Raw genomic sequence first — 20,580 nt, 5'->3', positions numbered from 1 at the left:
TTGTGTGTTAGCACATTTGTCAATTATAAATTGGAGAAACTAATTTTTACAATGTTTGTACAACTCAAAATGTTCACATAATTTTTTTCAAAAGTTTAAAAGCAATTATCATAATATAACAAAACAAAGGATTTTAAAGATAATATTTTAAATTGTTAAGCCAAAAAAAAGTTTATGCTTCCAGTATCTGTATTCTCCAGAAGCTACCAAGGTAACAATAAAGCTTCTTCCACTATCCTAAAACTTCATGTAAGTCTCTCACATGCTTTTGGAGGGTCAGCTCTTTATTTGGAGCAGAGCTAAAAGTTTTCATTCACACTACTTCTGCTAAGCATTGTCTGTTTTCTCTCCTTCCCTTTATTACCCAACTCCTGAAATGCAATCTCTTCACCACCTCAGCACTACCAGAACTACTCACCAGAGCATTTTTATACAAAGGTCTTTCCAGAATCCCAATCTTACACTTTGTTGAGTTCCTGAATTCCAAAGCAGTCTACCATAACTTTCTTGATATTTCACTTTCGTAACTATCTTCTCTCTCTTCTTGTTTTTCTTTTCTTAGACTGCTGCCTTCCCATTACGGAAGTTCACGTTTTTGTTCTTGATAACTACAATTTTAGCTTAGCAGTTTTATTAAATCATCCATTTTAATAGATTTTGCTTCTTTTTCTGATTATTTCTAAATGTAGAACACCATTTGTGACCCACTGGCTTTGTCTCTGTGCCTGTTCTCAGCAGCTTACAAAACAAGTCTATGTAAAGGAAGCTCATACTCAATGTATCCCTCAGATACTACTTTCCTTCCAAAAATGCTACTTTCCTTCCAAAACATACACTTGTTTCAGACAGCTTCATTTCAGCCAAAGGTACTGGCATTATCAATCTCTTAAAAATAGAAAGATCAACTCATTTTTTAAAATCTCTCATTTAAAACTAAATTTAATATTGACATCTATCCAAATATATCAGAAATAAGGAAATTCACACAATCTAATTTAAACCAAATCACCACAGTTGAGCACAGAACTTCCCAAATGTAATAAAGACTAGTTTACTAACTTCCAAGTTACTCCTTTATTTCATTTTATAGGAGTTATACTCATATTCCCATATAGGTTATTCAGAATTTTCTCTCTCCATACAATTTCAAAGTCTTCATTTTACCCTATTTTTCAGTGAATGATCTCAGATACCCCTATAGGAAGAAGATTAAAACATGGAACCATAAAAGAAACAATGACCTTGATTGTCTCAGGCACCCATCATGATTTATTGGTCAAAGACTGAATTTTGGTATCAGACTAAATTATATTTAAGTATTACCAGTTATGGAAGCTTAAACTTTCTTACTCCCAAGACGAGTGCATTTTCTGTTGTATTTCCCTTACTTGCAATATTGTATGTTTTTCCATATCTATTAGGAAATTTCTTTCCATATGTAATAAACTACCCAGCTAGGGAGTCTTAAACAAATAAGGGTTTGTTTTTGTTGTATAATAAGTCTGGAGAAGAGCAGTTACTGGCGCTGGTTGAGTGACATAGTGAAGTGACCCCCAGGCTTCAGATGTTCTCCTGGCAGTCTCCAGTTATCACATCTGCATTCCAACAAGAAGAAGCAAAAACAGTGGGTGGGGGTGCTGTCTCAGGAAAGCAACAGGCTTCCCAGGAATCACACAGCTGACTTTCACTTCCATGTCATCATTCAGAACTCTTCTGTGAAGTTTCTCCAACTGAAAGTTGTCTGGGAATGAAGATTAAGTCAACCAAACATACCCATATTGTTCTTTCTGTATATCTGAATATTACTGATTGTTCAAAGCTTACCTAAAATCTCACCTCCTCTATGAAAACTTCTTCAATGCAGCTGACCACACATATCTCTAATCTTTGTAGATTTTCATTTTAACTACAAAAGTCCCATACAATATACCACTAATATTTTTGTGCTCTAATAATTTTTTTATTATTTAAAAAATTTTTGGAGATAGTGTCATTCTGTTGCCCAGGTTGGAGTGCAATGGCATGATCTTGGCTCATTACAACCTCTCCCTCCCCAGTTCAAGTGATTCTCCTGCCTCAGCCTCTCGAGTATCTGGGACTACAGGTATGTGATGCCACGCTCGCCTAGTTTTTTTTGTTTTGTTTTGTTTTTGTTTGTTTTTTTTGTATTTTCAGTAGAGACGGGGTTTCAACATACTGGCCAAGCTGGTCTCCAACTCCTGACCTCAAATGATCTGCCCACCTCGGCCTCCCAAAGTGCTGAGATTACAGGTATGAGCCACAGTGCCCAGCCAATATTTCTCATTTAACGTTTTATTTTCTCAAAATTTAAATGTGTATTCAGGGTAGAGGCTGTGTTGTAATCCTTTTTTCTGTCTACACACAACAGGGCACTGTGCTAAGCACACAGTGGTGCTCCGTATGATTTGGGGAACTAGATTCAGGCAAATTCAAATCTGAAATCAGGAACCACTAATTTCTTATGGTGTAATTCTAAACAAGAAAATTTGCCTCTCTAAATTTTTCTTTCTCTATAAATGTGTAAGAAAATAAAAGAATACATCATGGGACAATAGGAGAACTCAATATATGCATGGAACATATATGCCTAATACACATTATTTTCCTTTATCAAAGTTTAATTATAATTGATAGGAAAAGTATTTACATATGCATTCTATAAAATATGATACGCAGAATTTGCATTTTCAGGCTCAAAAGACTCACAATTTTAAAAATTAATTTCTTTGGAATTCACTCTGTGAGAAAATTAAAAAACAAAAGCTTTGTTTTCCTTAAGAATAAAATGTATTTCAATTTCATTTAGCATTTAGTTCAAGACTACTAAATATTTATAGCTAATATTTTTTAATATTTGTAGTTTTTTGTTTGTTTCTTTTTTGCTACAATGAGCTCGAGGATTTTATCTGGAAGCTGTGCTTGCCAAGAAAACAGTCTTACTTACAGAATATGTTTATTTGTGGGAGAATGATAAATATTATGGTGTGGGGAGGTAACAAAATCACTTCTCCAAGTTCCTTTTTAGGGTCATCTATTTTATAATCCTACATGTTTTTATTAGTGTGAACTTTCTATTAAGATTTATTTTTTTAGAAAGTTGCTGGATGATGGTGAGGAAAATTCAAATGTATGTAAATATTATTGGGGAAAAATTGTGAAGGGGCTTAACATGACTCTTTTTAAAGAAAATAAATTTTAACTAAATTATTAATAGTTATTATTTAAATTAAATCCTTAGAAAAATAAAGAAAAATACAAGTGAATTTTAAAAAGTTTTATTATGGAATTATTCAAATATACATGAAGGCAGGTAAAATATAGTACACCTGATATTTTCATAGAGAAAGAAAGAAAGAAAGAGAAAGAAAGTAAGAAAGAAAGAAGGAGGAAGAGGAAGGGGAAGGGGAAGAGGAAGAAGAGGAAGAGGAAGAAGACGGAGGAGGAGGAGAGGGAGGGAGGAAGGAAGGAAGGAGAAGAGAAGAGAAAAAGGAAGGAAGGAAGGAAGGAAGGAAACCTAGTAGCAATAAACATTTATTATCTCAGTATCTGTGGGTTGGAAATATCTCAGCTGTGTGGTTTTGACTGAGTCACTCATGAGGCTCCACTCAAGCAAGATGTTGGCTTGGGCTGCAGTCATCTGAAGTATGACCAGGCCTGGAGGATCCACTTCCCAGGTGTTCCTCTCACATGGCTGTCAGCAGGAGGGCTCAGTTTTTCAGTGGTTGTTGGCAGGCTGACTTGGTTCCTTACCACATGGGGTTACTGGAATGTCCTCATGACATACATGGCCACTGCTTTCCTACAGAGCAAGAGAGATAAGATAGAAGACAAAGAGGAAGGCACCATGCTTTTTAATGACTTGGTGTTGGAGATCACACATTGTCACTTCTGTCACATTCTATTTATTAGGAGTAAGTCACTAAACATTGCTCACATTCAAGAAGAGAGGAATTAGTCTCCACTTGTTGAAAAGAGGATTATCAAATAATTTTTAGACAAATTTTTAAATCAACACAATACTTTCATCCACTTCCCTCTCACCATTCCAACTATTTTGAAGAATATTCTGGTAAGCACACTATTTCACCCATGAATACTTCATCATGTGTGTCTCAAAATCATGAAAAAAGTAACTATTCCTCAGTGTCATCAAAAATCTAACCAGTATTCAAATTTCTCTGATTTTTTTCATAAAATTTTTAACAATTGGTTTGGTTTGTTAGAATTCAAAATAGACCAGTTGCATTTAGCACCTTTTGAAGTAGTGTCAAATCCTCCTTAGATTAGCCAATTTGAAATATACTTACAATCAGACAAAGATAAAAGATATTCATACACTGCTTTGTTTCTACACTGTTTATTGTTCTTTTTATAAGAAACACTCAAGGAGTAAGAAAGCAGATTTTCCTAGGTTACCTTTGAACCTGGAATTTGTGTCACCACTTTGGTGATATTCCTAATAAGCCACAGGTGTACACTACAGGAGCAAGTAGAAACAGAGACAGGGATATGATGACAGTTAATTGTCCATAACTTATTTATCCCAAGGAACACTTATACATCTGTTACATATTTAGGTATTTGCTACTTGTCGTTTTTTTTTTGTGATTTTTCAGCAGAGAAACATCTATAACTAAAGCACCGTAAAAAGGAATAATGCTATCAAGGGGCTTTAGAGAAGCATGACAAAGGAAGTGCAGCTTTTTGTGTGTTGGAAATGAATGGCTCCATTCATTTCAAAAGGGATTTTGTTTTATATGTACTGTATTGGGTTTGGGCACTAAACACTTGACTCCCATTTCAGAATGAATTAGTTTGTTAAATGCAGGTATTTAAATAGAATAGAAACTCTAACAATGAATTTCTTCAGTAAGTACTTTTATCTTATTGTATAAAATATTTTATAGTGTTATCCTTTTCTTTCACTAATATGTGTATATATGTATGCATTTCAACTTCTATTTTAAGTCAAATATTTTTTATTTTTATTGTATTTATAAATTTGTCACACTTTTAAATCACTATTAACAACATATTTTTATAAGTACAATTATAGGTAATCTTGCATAAATGATATTCTATTATAAATGTTCAAAATAAAAAAATTGAAAAGTTCGTTGCTGACTATATGCTAGCTGCATATGAGATATGTGGATTTAATCATATACTGAAATTAATATTTAACAATTTATCTAGAACACATTTTGAAATATTTAAAATATTCATTGTAGGTGGTTGTTTCTCCAACGACATTCCCACTTTTCCATTTAAATGCCAAATGTGTGTTCTGATATTGCATTTTCAGTGTATACATTTTACATTAATAAGTATCTAACTAATAAATTGCTTCATTATTCATTACTATATGAATTTGCAAGTTTCCTATGACAAACGTTCTGTAGCTGATTTTTGCCTGTTATTCAACAAAATGTCAAGAATATAATTACTAGTAAATTTAAACTACTGTTCAACTTTAATTCACAAAGCACAACTCTTAATACTAAGAAATGTACTCAAACAAGACTCCTGTTCATAGCTGGCATTAAACACCGAGAGCTATTGACTTTGTTATCTTGATCCAATTTTTAATGCTTGCTGTTAAGTCTCTCTTTCTTTCTTTCTCCTTTCTTTTTCTTTCTTTTCTTTCTCTTCCTTTTTTTCTTTTCTTTCCTTTTCTCTTCTTATTTTTTCTTCCTTTCTTTTTTTAAATTTCCAAACCACCAGAGGATGATTTCCTTAAGAATGTTCTCTCAGGTATGTTCAGAATATTAATTAGGCCCATCTATTCCTGTCGGGTAATAACAATGTCCATGGGCTGAATGGATGCTGTGACCTGTGAAAGAACTATTCACATGCTTTAGTCTGCCCTAGCACATTCTTTAACAAGTGAACATAGACCTTTTTCACAGTCATCCTAAATGTTTCAACTGTGTGCTTTATGTTTGCTTCTTGCATCTCCAACCATACAGCTTTTTCTTCCCCTCTTTCGGGGAAGACTTCCTTGCACTACTCATTTCAATGCATCTGCGTTTATGACTACATTACTGCCATACCTATGGGGCTTCTTACTGTATTTGCCTATAACTGGAGGAGAGTTTAAAGAAATTAAATTTATTTAGACTAAATCTTCTGGGGGATGTAAAAATATCTTAAATAATTAGCAGTAATTAAAAAGGATCTATTCAGACTAGATAAAAGGTAAACAGAGTGGTTGCTTAAATATAGTCATTTAAGTATAGTGGTTAGTTGGCTTAGTTTTTCCATTTGCATGTGTTATTTAACCACCTGTTGGCAAATAACTTCAAAAGAAGAAAAAGCATTGACTTTTGTTTATTCAGTTGGTGCAAAAGTAATTGCTGTTTTTGCCATTACTTTCAATGACAATTACTTTTGCACCAACTTAATGGCATAATTTTTTGACTCATAAGTGCTATTAACAAATTGGTATTGTTAAAAAATTAATTATTTTTAATGTAGATGTTGCAACTAACACTGGATATAATATCAAGAAAACAATGCCTGAGTAAAATCTAGGGTTTTTTTTTTAATTTTTAGTGTGGACCTGACGGAAAGGTATTATGGTTATATTTTCCTATAAGTTTTATTCTGACATTTCTCTACCTCAATTAGCTCTTCTTTTTGTGTATTAAAAGGATTAAATATTTAACTATTCTCAAAGTCCTCCTTAAATTGTTTCAAATTAGAACTTGTCTTATGAGAGGTCAGAGGAGATAGATTATATTTTTATGCAGAAACATTTACCAGCACCTGTTAGTATATATATATATATATATATATATACTATATATATGCATAAAGGTAGTTTTCTAAGTATTTATTCATGCATATATGAGTACACACACAGAGAGATTTGTACAAAACAAATACACATAATTTTCTTTTTTTTTTTTTTTACAATTTACAGTTTAGTAGATTGGGCAACCACATATGCTGTGCTTTGAGGAGGACATAAAGGAAGACATCTAAAACAGAAACTCTATCATTTGGTATTTTAATGTTATGGTTCCATTCTTCAGAACTTTATGTGAAACCATATTTTATTTTAAATATGATCGGTTAACATATTTAAAAAATGATAACCAGCCTATGAAAAAATACAAAATGAAATAAAATGGACTGGGAAAAAGAGTGAAAAAGACAGAAAGGAGTATAGAAAATACTGAAAAAATACATGGCAGTCCAAAGATACATTTTTGCAAGGGCCGTTCAAACTCAGTCATCCTATGATAGTCAAAAATATGTATAATGATTTTTGGTGCAAAAATATCACCACGAAGATCAGAGCATGATATTATTGATGTTAAGCTTTCAGATTTGATCTCTTATAAGACATACAATTTCACTCATGTGTAACTGCCTACTCAGCCATTTTGCAAATGCATAGGAAATACAAAATTAAAAAACAAAAACAAAATTGCAGATGAATTCATTTTATAATGATGGTGGGTTTGTTACGCAACCTTTATATACAGAAGAGAATATATTACTTGAAAGTGTACATAGTCTTGGTTTTTGGGAAACAAATAATTTTTGCATCATTCTGGACTGCAGAAAGCATTAAGGGTTAGCCAGAAAAATCTGGGTTTAGAAAATGGTTCTGCTAATACATTGACTGAGAGAACTTCACGTCACCAAATAGGAGTCTTTAGAAGAAGAATAATAATACATTCCTTGAGGAACAGTTGTGAGAAGATAACCTAAGTGTAATAACATTATAAAATAACTATCTCAGGGAAAGAAAGCCTTAACATTTTCATGTAATTAGTTTTGTGTAATATTGCTAAATAGAAAAATTGCTACCTTCAAAATATAGAAAAATACCTCTCTTAGGAAGATGTAATAAAGACATAATAAAAAACTTTAATGAATGTGAAACACAATATAGCACAAAAAGCAAATATATAGTGTTTGGACTATATAAAAGAAAGTGAGAATTCTAGGTTATGTCAGCAGGTAAAGTCCCTGTATTTTATGCTCATACCTGCAGGTTGCATTCCCCTCCCAGCTGGCATGGAAGGTCATTGTATACTATTCTGTTCCTCTTTCTCTGGGATCTATTGCTTGTGCTGACTTCCATCCTGCACCTATCCATACCAGATATACCCACCAAGATGCACCAAGCCTGCCAGGAGAACCTTCTGGTTAAGTACCATCTCATCTTTTCATAATAATTGGTCTTCATTTCTAGCAGTTGTTTCATTTAATAACAACAAAAATAACCTCATTAATAATATTTAAATTAATACGTTATTATCAAAGTACTAGATTCCATAGTTTAGTTTTATGTCCTTAACTGTCTAGGCGTATTTTGTTATTTACATTGAAAAAAGTACTTACATCTAATTATACACTGCCATTCTATAATTTATACTTGCAAACTCTGAGAATAGATTTAATGAGTATAAATATCCAATAGAGTCCCACTGTGCTGTAAATAAAATAATAATTTTAATATATCATAATATTCTATTAGCATGAGAGACCTTAAAATATGAATAAAGATAGGCTAAAATTAAATTATTATAATTTGATACCATGACAAAAGAAAGCATCTGACTTAGAAACTTTTTTAGAAGGTTTTGTGTGTATAATTTCATGGAGGGAACTAAAACAAATCAGGTTATCATGCTCAGGATTTTGAGTAGGTGATTTTCAGGCATCAGTTTACAAATGGGATGCCACATAAATAAGGTGACACATGAATTATTGACATTATGGCTCAGTTATAGGTAATCAATTTTTACCTTATCATAAATGTAGAAAAAATTATGTGAAATAAAAAGAATACTAAGCTACTGGATAAGGTGGCTTTTAAAGAATGTTTGGGAGTTAGGCATAAAGAAAACTAGCTTTCAAGTATACCTCAAATTCTTGCAAGTTTTGCCAGAGAGTATTAGTTTGGATTTTGAGGATTTCTAACACTAATGACAAGCTATATAATTCCTCTGACTTTCGAAAGGCTTACTCTCAGCTAAAATAATAAAATTGTATTTTTAATCTAGAAATTTCTCTAAAGCGACCTGTTCTAGTATAGATAAGCCTGGTCTTATTGATGAGCTTCTAATGACTTATATTAACTAATCAATGGTAATATTGTTCCATATCAGTACTGGATCCTATTCTCTTGATGTCCAGCAATATGATGTCCAGCTCCATTCTGGAATATACATATTTTATACTATTTTATTTTTTGTCATCTTTTTAAAACATTATAATTGTTGTAAGGTAGCTATACCCCAACACAGATTACAATCTTGAAGATGTAGTGACAAAATGAACACACAACCAAAAATTGGCTTTCTTGCTGACCTTAAGAGAGTGATATAAATTATTTTGCAATTTTTATCACTCTCTTAAGTTCAGCAAAGAAAGCCAATTTTCTGTCATAACTTTTCCTTATGAATTTCATAAAAATGAGCAGTTTTCAAATATAAAGATATAATGTGGTACAGAAGAAAGACTGAAATCAAAGTGGAAATCCTGGTTTGTCACTTACTGATCCTATATTTTTAAGAACATTATTTCAACTCTTCAAGCCTATTTTTTCCTCCAAAGTAAGATCAGTATTACTCATAATTCTCTGACTCCAGGAAAATAAATAGGCAAGTTATTTAAAATTTGTATACTATGATAATTGTAATATTTATCTTGCAAAGTTGTTATGAATATGCAATCAAGTGAGATCTATAACAGTGTCTGGAAAAAACAAATTTCTCCGTAAATGGTTATGTTTTTTAAATGTTGAGTGGTACTTTTCCTTGTTAATAGGGCTCCAAGGCAAAATAAGTGTTTTGAGCAGAGACCCAATGCATAAAACTGTTTGGAGTTTATTCAACCCAGAGCATACCTCTGAAAAGTCTATCTATTAGCTCCTACTTCTAAAATCCTCAGAACTACTCAAGGCTCTTGACAATCATAGTTTGTTTCTGTTGTGTGTTACCAAAGAACCTTGAACTTTAATTTTAAAATATAATTTACTAAGAAAAAATTCTGTAAATAATTTTACTCTGTACCTAACTAATGATTTACATACAAGAAAGACCAGATTATTGCACATGAAAGTTGTGTCCATCAGAATGTAATCTGTATCTTTGGGATCTGGACACAAAGCCTGTGGACAATCAGGTAAAAATAACATTTTTTTTAATGAAAAAGAAAGTTATATATGTAGTTTACAAAAACGAACACACACACACACACACACACACACACACACACACACATATATATATATATATATGAATGAAAAATTTTGAGTGGTGATCTATCCACATTTTGGATTTTCTTTAAATTTTCGTAAGATCACAAGGAAATATGGATGCCAAACTTCTGCTTCTGATAACATTAGAATAAGCATTTTGAACGAAACTTCGCACTGAGAATCACAAGAAAGACTAGATAAAACACTTTTAAAAAATCTGCTGAAATACCTCAGAGAAGTAAGAAGACAGTGAAGGTTCACAAAACTTAGATTCAGGAAAAGAAGGATCCCCAGACTGATAAGCATTGTGTTGAGGAGATGTCATTTTCCATTAGAGGCATCTGCTGATGACTGAGAAGTTAATAACCTAATGAATACTTTGACTAGCTTCCAAACTAGGAAGATGAATTCCAGCGTCTACCAAGAGAGAATATTTTGGTAAACATTCTCAAAAATACACTCTGAAATAGGACTCTGAAAGGCTATTATCTAAGAATGAAGAGAAACTCAAAGTAGGCTCTCTACTGGAGCTGCTAAAGCCTAGCTTGAAAGCATCAAAAACTCTGAATGTAATTAAGTTAGCTGGAATTGTAAATGTCCTAACCACCCACCAGTATCAAGAGTAAATTATTTGTAGAAGATTCAATTAGCACTACGGTGTTTCATATAAATGACTGACTCTCAATGAAAACTAAATTATATACTCTGAGATAAAACAAATGAATGAAAGCCAAGAGAAAAAAGAGTCAATAGAAACAGCTTTACAGGATGTCAAGATAATGGAATACAGGGAAAAAACAAAATGGAAATCAACTAAACTTAATTAAGAAGATAAATAAGAAAATTGAAAAGCTTGTTAGGGAACTTAAAACCACAACAAAGAACAAAACTGAAATTTTAGATGTGAAAATTATAGTAAGTAAATTATACTTGGAACTCAATGAAAGTTTTATTAGTGGCTAAAACAAAACTGGAGAGAGTGTTTATAAACTGGAAGATAAATCAAAAGAAAATATCTGGAATGAAGTCCTAACAGAAAGAGAACAAAAAAATGAAAGAGATAGATGTAAATATAGATATGAATAGATACAGAGAAAGAGAAAAGGAAAAGAGAGAGAGAGAGAGAGAGACATACCTAGACAGGAGGAAGGATAGAAGCAATACTTTAAAAGATAATTACAGGTATTGGGAATTTTCAAAAAATTGACCAAAAAACATCAAGTCGCAGATTCAAAAAGCTTCACAAACACGAAATCCAAAAAGCTAGAACAGCATGTGAGCATACACACGCACACACACACACACACACACACACACAGAGAGATTTGGATAATTCTATTAAAAGTTCTGAAAACCAATGACAGAAAGAAAATATTCAAATTATCTGGGGGAAAGGAGGAGGGATGACAATATCTAAAAAGGAGCAACAATTAGACTGACATCTGACTTCTCAATAAAGCCAGATGATAATAAAATATTTTTAAAGTACTGATGAATATACCTATGTGCCAAGAATTCTATTTCCGTGGAAAATATCCTTCAAAAATATATACGAATTATAGACATTGTCACAAAGAGAAAATATGAAAAAATTCATCACCAATAGATCTTCACTAAAGGTAATCATTTCACTACAGATGCAACTTAGATATGCAGAAAGGAATAAAGAACAAAGAAAGAGGTAAAAGTATGGACAAATCTAAATTAAAACAGATTATATAAAATAATAGAAACAGTGTCTAAAACATATATAGCATATAGAGAATGTCAAAATAAATGACAAGAATAGCGTGCAAGTTAGGAGAAAAATAAATGGAGTGAAAAGATTATAAGGTTTTTGCACTGTCCAGAAAGAGATTTATTATGTTCAATCAAGCTGCTATTTTTAAAAAACTACAGAAGAAAACTAAAACTAAAAGAAATACAACTAAATATGAACAGTAATAGGAATAGTTAAGCCTCTTTTTATTTTTCTACTTCTTTTTAAACTTATATGAAGTAAATGGAGTGAAAGGGATATAAGGTTTTTGCATTGTCCATAAAGAGGGTAGATAGTTTTATTAGACTTTGATAAGTCAAGAATGAATGCTTTAATTCTAGTGTAAACACTAGCATTGTCTAAGTAGTGTATTTCTTACAAATGAATGAGACTTAGAATAACAAGGATTTAATCAGATGAAAATAACATAAGAAATTAAAGAAACAAAATAAGTTGAACAAATACAAAATAAATATTCAAATAGTAGATTTAAATCCAAATTTAATTTGGATTTAAATAATAAACTAAATTTTCCATTTCCAAGCCAAAGATTGTCACACAAATTAAAAATAAAATGAATAAAAGAGTAGCAAAGCGCACACTCAGCACTAGTTCTAAATATCATTTTCCAATAATAGGAACTAAAGCTTCTTAGAGAAATGTCTGATTCCATGACTGAGCCAGGGAATATTGAATGTGGAGCACCTTGCTTTGCCAGAAAGTAAGAAAGTGTTCAAAAACCAGAGAAACACAGCATTTAAAAAGGACACAGGGGCTGATTGAAAAGAGTTCCTAGTGGTCAAAACTGAAGCAATTTGAGCTACAAAATAAGTACTGCACTGTTGTATTAATGATTACAAATAAAAAAATTACCAGATTTAATCAATGTTTTCTTATACCAATTTGTTTTTATTTGGCCAATTATTGAAGCTATTATAATTTTTAAAATTACCTCACTGTCCATTGCCAAATGGCTTCCATGGTCAAAGAACAATGTAATACAACTCAAGAAAAAAAACACAACAAATGTAATATGATTACTGGCTTAAGTACAGGCACATACAAAGACGTGCAAAGATTTTTAAAAATGGAATACCAAGAACTGAGACCAAGTCAGAATATCATAGCTAAATGAAATACCTGCTAGATAAACCTAAGAACTGTGTGAGAAACAGAACCTGTAAGATATGTTAAAAAAACAAAAATTTCAAATAAGAAGGTAGCTCTGATATGTTATTTGTAATGATGTCTTTTACACAAGAAATAAAGCTGGAGACAATTGCACTTTTAGATTAAAACTATTGGTTCTTTGTACGTCTATGAACCAGAGGCCTAAGTATATACTTTTAATTTCAAGCAAATATCTTGAACACATCATGGGCACAAATCTTTTTGTAAATGGTGTGAGAGAGAAAAGAAAAGAAGGAAGTATTAAATGTTAAAAGTATTTTTAAAATTCTTACAGAAAGCAACATGACTTAGATACAGTATTTTGCATTCATTCAACTACTGTTTATTGAGATCTACTATGTGCTAGGTAATGTCCTAAGTGTTTGGGATAATTTAAAGATCTCACCTTTATAGAACTCACATTCCAGCAGGGAAAGACATGAGATAATCCATATACATAATCAGTTAATAATCTCATATGTTAGAAGCTGATGACTGCAATTGAAAAAGAAATAGTATAGGTAAAAGTAATTGGGAGTGTATCAGGAAAATGGTGGTGGGTGCAGATGAATAATTATGAAACCAGAATTTAGGAGATAGTGTTAAGCACAGAAAGAACTTCAGAAAAACTTCAAGAGACAGAGGTTGATTGTGCCTGGGAGTTAGCAAATGATTTTATATAAGAACAAAATATTAAAAAAAGCTTTGAAGTTTTTAAGTCTACGAGATTGGGGACGTAGTGCCACTTTCACTAAAAGAAAGAAATCATTATGAGCATTTAATTTAAAGCTAAAATTGATGAAATTGATTAGGACAACCTAAAAGTGTGGTACCATCTAGAGATATCCAGATGAATTTTTAAATATTCAGAGAAAACAGTGGGAGTCACAAGGACAACTGGCAATGAAAGAAACTAAAATAGAGAATAAGGTACAATATTTTATAAAATGATTTTTAGGATTTTCTAGTAAAGCCTTAAAAAGTCAATTTGCAAATTAGAAATGATTAGCAAAACTATTATCTTTTGGTATCTGTATTTTTGGATGAGTAAAATTAAGCTAAAATCTAGATCCAAACTGAAGGTCAAGCCTTAGAAAAGGTGTGATATTATTCATTAATCAAATAAGCATATATGAACATATGCATACATAAATATTACATGCCTGTATATGCATATGTGCATTTTAGAGGCAAATATACAAACATGCCAAAGTGTCTGTTTTTAAGAATGAATTGTCTTCACAACTCAACTGATATGGAATATTTTTTCCAAGATTATATTCTCCACAGGTATGAGAGAATTACCTAGAATTTCTAACATGCTGTAGAATTAGACATCTTGAAGGAGATTTATGTTGACTTTCTGCTTGTTTGTTTATTTACCTTTATTTTCCAGCTCCACCACTAGATTACAATCTTCTTGAGGAAAAAGGCTTCTTTTATCTTCGTTCTTTGTCTTCTTTCTGCCCTCTGCACCATGCCTAATGGATAATAAGTATCCATTGTTTAAAAGAATCAGTTAGTAAAATTAATTAGTCGGGACGATATATTCTCCAGTAGTTATTCTCTTTTTTTCTTGTTCTTGTATGATTTCAAATCTGTTACTGAGACTACTTGCCATCATGTTCAGTACTGACCTCTACAAAAGAAGTAATTAGTACAATATTTGTTCACATATAAGACATCATTTTTGTCTCCTTGCTTCATGTAACCTGTCAGACAGAGCAGGGGAAGTTTTACATTCAATTGCTCTGTATTCCCCAATACACACTAGGAGAAGGAAAAAAGCCATATTTAATAGCAGACGTCTACTCTTAACATAAACCTGTATAAAATCATATTAATTGAAAACTGTAGAACATACTGAAATCTCCAGACGCCATATAGAAATAGAAAATAATTATAATTAAGGTATTTAATTAATATCAGTTTAATATTGAATATGATCTTGATATTAAATGTAATTAAATATTAAATGAAACTTCCTTAGTTACACCTACACTTATAACCTATGCTTGTGAAAACCTGCTGATCTATTGTACCGCTATGTACTACTGGGCCGGAGAAGCATGGTATGAGTGTATTCTGATTAATGGTAATTGAAACTTCCTTAAACTATCCCTTTACTACTCACCCTTCCCATTTCAAGTTCCAGCAGAAGGTTTCCAAGCTTGAGCATGACTACTCGCGTATTTGGTTTAATTCATTATGTTTTAATTCAGAAGATTGTTTTACGATCATCCGGAATTCTTTCTAATAAATGATAATCCATGAATATGGTTGAACTCCACTATACTCCGATGATTTTATAAGAAATTATTCAAGTTTCTGTTGCTATGTAACAACCCACCCCAAAATTAATTCTATGAATTGACTGAGTTCAGTATGTGGATCTTGCTTGGGGTCTCTCATGTGGTTACAGTCAGATGGCAGCACAGGAGTCATCTGAAAGCTTGACTGGGCTGCATATCTGAGATGGTTTCTTCTCTCACATGTCTAGTGCTTCAGCTGAGAAGGCTAGAATACTAGGAGACAGACTGGGCATCTCCATCTCCCCATGCAGCTTTTTCATGTGGCTAGCTTGGACTTATTTACAGTATGGCAGTCTCAGATAGTGAGTCTTCTTGCCTGGTGGCTGGTTCCCCAAGAGTGCTCCTTCTAAGAGAGCAAGAAGGAAACTGCTAGGCTTCTTATGATCCACCCTTAAAGTCACATCGAGTTACTTTTACTGCCTTTTATTTATTTTATTTGGTCTACCTAGATGCAATGGAGGAGGAGACTACACAAATATGTTAATACCAGGAGCCATAGTTCTCTGGGGGCCACCTTTGAAAAGTTTATGCCATCTTTCATACCCTCTCAAGCCAAGAAAAGCAAATACAATCTACAAGACATGTATTTTGCCTTTGCCTCTTTTTTGTTTGTTTGTTTGTTTGTTTGTTTTTGGAGACAGGTTCTCACTCTGCTACCCAGGCTGTAGTGCAGTGGTGTAATCATAGCTCACTATAGCCTTGAACTCCTGGACGTAAGGGATCCTCCTGCCTCAGCCTCCTGAGTAGCTAGGACTATAGGTGTACACCACCTTGCCCATCTAATTTTTTAATTTTTTTGTAGAGATGGCATCTTGCTATGTTGCCAGGCTGATCTTGAACTTCTGGCCTCAAGTGATCCTCTCAGCTTGGCCTCCCAAAGCAGTGGGATTACAGGCAGAAACCACTGCACTCTGCCTGCCTTTGCCTTTGACTATTTGCTTAACACTTTTAATTTTTGAACCAGCTTCAACAACATTCTCTATTACATATCACAAAGAGTAACTTTCACACCAGGCACAAAAATGAGTGGTATGCAATAGACACTCTCTCTTTATGCCTAATTTATGCTGATTATTCTTTTTGTTCAGCACATTAATATTTGGAAGAATTCATGGTATCTTAATTAAAATGTCATTTGAAACTCAAAGTATTTCAAGGTATACTTACTGAATACTTATTATGTGCCAGAAACCATGCTAAGTGCTAGGGATATGCCAATTAACATAAGACTATTCTATCTTCAGAGAGCTTAGAATGAGGACAGGCAGAGCATGCAGCTTCCACATTTCAGTATCCCCTTGCACAGATTCTCATATAGTTATCCAAAACTCTTTTTCTCAAACCCTCACATTTTATCTGAAATCTCCTTCAGGCTGAAAAGAAACCATCTTTCAGGTTCCAAGAAGAATTTAGCAAATGAAACAGTACGAGTGATAAATGTTAACTGTTGTTCCTTCTTTCCTTCCCCTACATGATTTCAGGTGGGATTTATTAAGAGAAGATGTATTTCTTCTTCTAGGTCATGAAGAACATTTTTTTCTTTATCTGTATCCTCCAAGGAAGCTCGTGGTGAAATAGATAAAATGTCAGAAATAATTAAGAAAAATGCAGGGGTATCCAACAATCTAAAATTACACCTTTTGGTGATGCCTAGTTTTTATCTCCTTGGTCCCTTGACAGGTATAAACACCAACTTATCACATCTTTTAGATGGTGGTGTGTTAAATCAATGTTGATGAACACCTGGTGCAGTGAACAGGGAGGATGAAAAGGAAATTCTCTTAGAAAGCAGAGGTCATGGGTTCTAGAAGGTCAATGTACACTATGTGATCAATACAGAATCTAGAATCCCTCAGAATTATTGCATTAAAAGACTCCTAAATCTCTTTAATCATTTTACTAGGTTCAATCACACCTCTATTTTATCACTTTTTTAACCTACTATTTTCTGTAACTACAAAAATTGCTGTTTTAAACATTTGTTTCAGTATTTTTTTTCAGTAGTAGGTGTTTAAATCAGTATGGTAGTAAACTTAACACACGGACAACGTGGACCCCCGTATCAGAAATGTGATATCTCACAGTTATGAGCCTCTCTTTTGTAAAGACCTTGAACATATTTTTCTACCTCAGTTAAAATCCTCCTACTCTAGATATACAAACTAGTTTTAATGAAGTGCACTTAAGAATCAGTTTTTTCCCAATGGGCCATAATAAATAGATATGGACCATTTATTACTATACTATTAATTATTTAAAATACATGCTACTAAAGTCTTTGAACAAGTAAATAAAAAATATCTGTAACTACATTAATTCGCCTAATGCTTTTAATTACTCATTAGTAGTGGTAGTTATAATAAAACAGATAAAAACTTTTAAATATACCAGTGTCAAGTAATGCTAAATATTTTTATATAACCTTAATTGTTCTAATAACAATTGGAACTGTTCTTATTTCTACAATATGGATGTAAAAATAAGGCATAGAGCGAAAAAATAATTTTTCCATGTTCTCTCAGGAGGAAGTAGAAAAACTGGGTTTAAATCTCATCCTGTGAGACTCATATTATGGAGTGTTAGGGAGGGTAACTTGTTTCCCACTCCTGATGTTTTCATCCATGGGAAAGAGGGCCTACTAAAGTGACAGTACTGGCCCATCTCCCCTACTCCCTGCCATTCACTTCCCCTTCTTATAAAGGAGTGACTTACCAAATTAACAAGTTTGGAAAGGTAAGAAAGTTTCCCACAGTAAGAATAAATTTAGCTCTGCTCTTCTAAGCCATATAGTTTAGATAGGGCAGAGTTATCCTTGAACTAATTATGTCTTTGGATGGATAAATATGTGTAATTCTGGAGTATGACATTAGGTATTTCATTTGCCTACAGATAGAAACTACATTCTCTAATATTATGTATATAAATACTAAAGGTCTCTAATTGGCCTTAGCTTTCCCTTTCTGGTAAAGTTGGATAAGGAAGAATTACTGACTTCCTAAAGATACCAGCAATCCTGAGGCCTTTTCTGAATCACAATTCCAATAAATGGAACCCAAAATAACATTTTATTGATCTCACATCAAAGTTGCAGTATTTATTCGCAAATACATTTTTCTTTTTTTTTGTTGTTTTTTTTTTTTGAGATGGAGTTTCACTGTTGGTGCCTAAGCTGGAGTGCAGTGGCACTATCTTGGCTCACTGCAAGCTGTGCCTCCCGGATTCAAGCGATTCTCCTGCCTCAGCTTCCCGTGTAGTTGGGATTACAGGCGCCCACCACCACGCCCCGCTAATTTTTTGTATGTTTATTTGAGACGGGCTTCACCATGTTGAGCAGGCCGGTCTCGAACTTCTTACGTCAGATGATCTGCCCACCTCCCAAAGTGCTGAGGTTACAGGCATGAGCCACCGTGCCCGGCCTGCAAATACATTTTTCTATACATTCTGTAATATCTTGGATACCTCACACACAAAAATTTCATAAGTGAGAAAGTAAAAACTACAGCTTTGTGCCTAGAGAGATATAGATTAGATATGTAACTAAGACTATCTGTAATTGTAAAATGCATTTTGACGTAATCCAGACCACATTAATGTGTTCACCTTCAAAATTCTAAAAAGTTTAATTTCAGGTTTTTATTTGGTGACCATGAGATGAAAAACTATATGGAACATTTTTAATGAAATGCATTTACCATTTTAAATGAAATATCTTCTAAAAGATATTTTGGAAATTTAAAATACATGTGCTTTAAATAACAATTTGATTTAAAATATATTTTTGAAATTTGATTTTGCATATATAGGTAAATATTAAAGTTTCTATTTTATATACATAAAATCTAACATACTGCTATTTAATATGGATTTGATGATACATGTCAATATTCTGCCATATTATAATTTGTTGAGGTTACATTTAAATATACATAGCTGTATTTGCCATTTTTGTTGCTCTTATTTTGTCCATTCCTCTGTCCATGGGGTGTCAGAAAGTTGGAGTGGAGTCCAGGCATTCTAAAAGGCAGGTTCTACATGAGCCATCATCTGAGCATATAGTGAAAAGAAAAGGTTGTCTTAGCAACTGGAACAAAATTAATGCTCTCAAACTCTGACTTCCACTCAGGTAACCATTTAGTTCTGCGGTTTTCAGATATACTTTGATAATAAAAGTCAGGTCTCTCTCTTATTGCCAGCAGAAATTTATCAGCTGATGCCCCTTTTATTTTTTATTTAAGAATTGGGTTCCTCAATTTGTAATTTTACTTGTGGTACTTGGACTATACAACAAAACTTTGAATTATCACAGCTGAGAATTTTCAATACACTTAAATTACAATTTAATCTGTAAATCAAAGTGTTTGAAAATGCACAATGGAGTATTATTTACCATAAAAAAGAATGAGTTTCTGTCATTTGCTACAACATGGATGGAACTGGAGTCATTATGTTAAGTGAAATAAGCCAGGCACAGAAAGACAAACATCACATGTTCTCACCTATTTGTGGAATCCAAAAATCAAAACAATTGAACTCATGGAGATACAGAATAGAAGGATAGTTTGAAACAGAAAATTTAAAATTTTTATCTCCTGTGTTCTAATCCAACATGTTTATTAATTCTAATATTTAAATCTTTTTCTGACTTGGTGAATATGTTATTTGTAAAAAGTTTGTCAACTATAAAATAGTTAAAAAAGAAAATAAAAAATGATCGAAAAATCCATCACTCAATTATTTTGTAATATTTTGTTTCAGTCTCTTTCTTCTTGCATATTTTGGGATGGTGACCTATTTTTCCTTCTTTTACTCTTTATGCTGTCTCTCAGAAATCTGCTGGTTAATAATTTATTGTATCATTATACTATTTTGTAAAGGCAATGTAATGTTACATCAGTATTACTGATGTACTTGTGATAAATTTGAATTAATGTACTATTGTTAATATGTACTATTGTACTATTTTTAATTTAAAATCATTGTGAGAGGTGACAGCGTGCTGGCAGCCCTCACAGCCCTCGCTGGCTCTCAGCACCTCCTCTGCCTGGGCTCCCACTTTGGCGGCACTTGAGGAGCCCTTCAGCCTGGCGCTGCACTGT

At 32.8% G+C, this 20,580-nt stretch overlaps 1 long non-coding RNA gene across 1 annotated transcript; it reads right to left on the bottom strand.

Moving 5' to 3' along the window:
- Positions 1-3,280: 3,280 nt before the first annotated feature.
- LOC124906206 (uncharacterized) lies at positions 3,281-15,424 on the bottom strand. The gene is made up of 2 exons (XR_007096281.1): positions 14,556-15,424; positions 3,281-3,820 (listed from the first exon to the last, which is right to left on the bottom strand). It is a non-coding gene; the product is annotated as an uncharacterized LOC124906206 (long non-coding RNA).
- Between the last annotated feature and the right edge of the window lie 5,156 nt (positions 15,425-20,580).

The sequence above is a fragment of the Homo sapiens genome, chromosome 3 (genome assembly GCF_000001405.40).
Source record: "Homo sapiens chromosome 3, GRCh38.p14 Primary Assembly".
In the NCBI taxonomy this organism is placed as follows: Eukaryota; Metazoa; Chordata; class Mammalia; order Primates; family Hominidae; genus Homo; species Homo sapiens.
The sequence above is the reverse complement of the archived record's forward strand: the minus strand, read 5'-3'. Positions and strand labels throughout refer to the sequence as shown.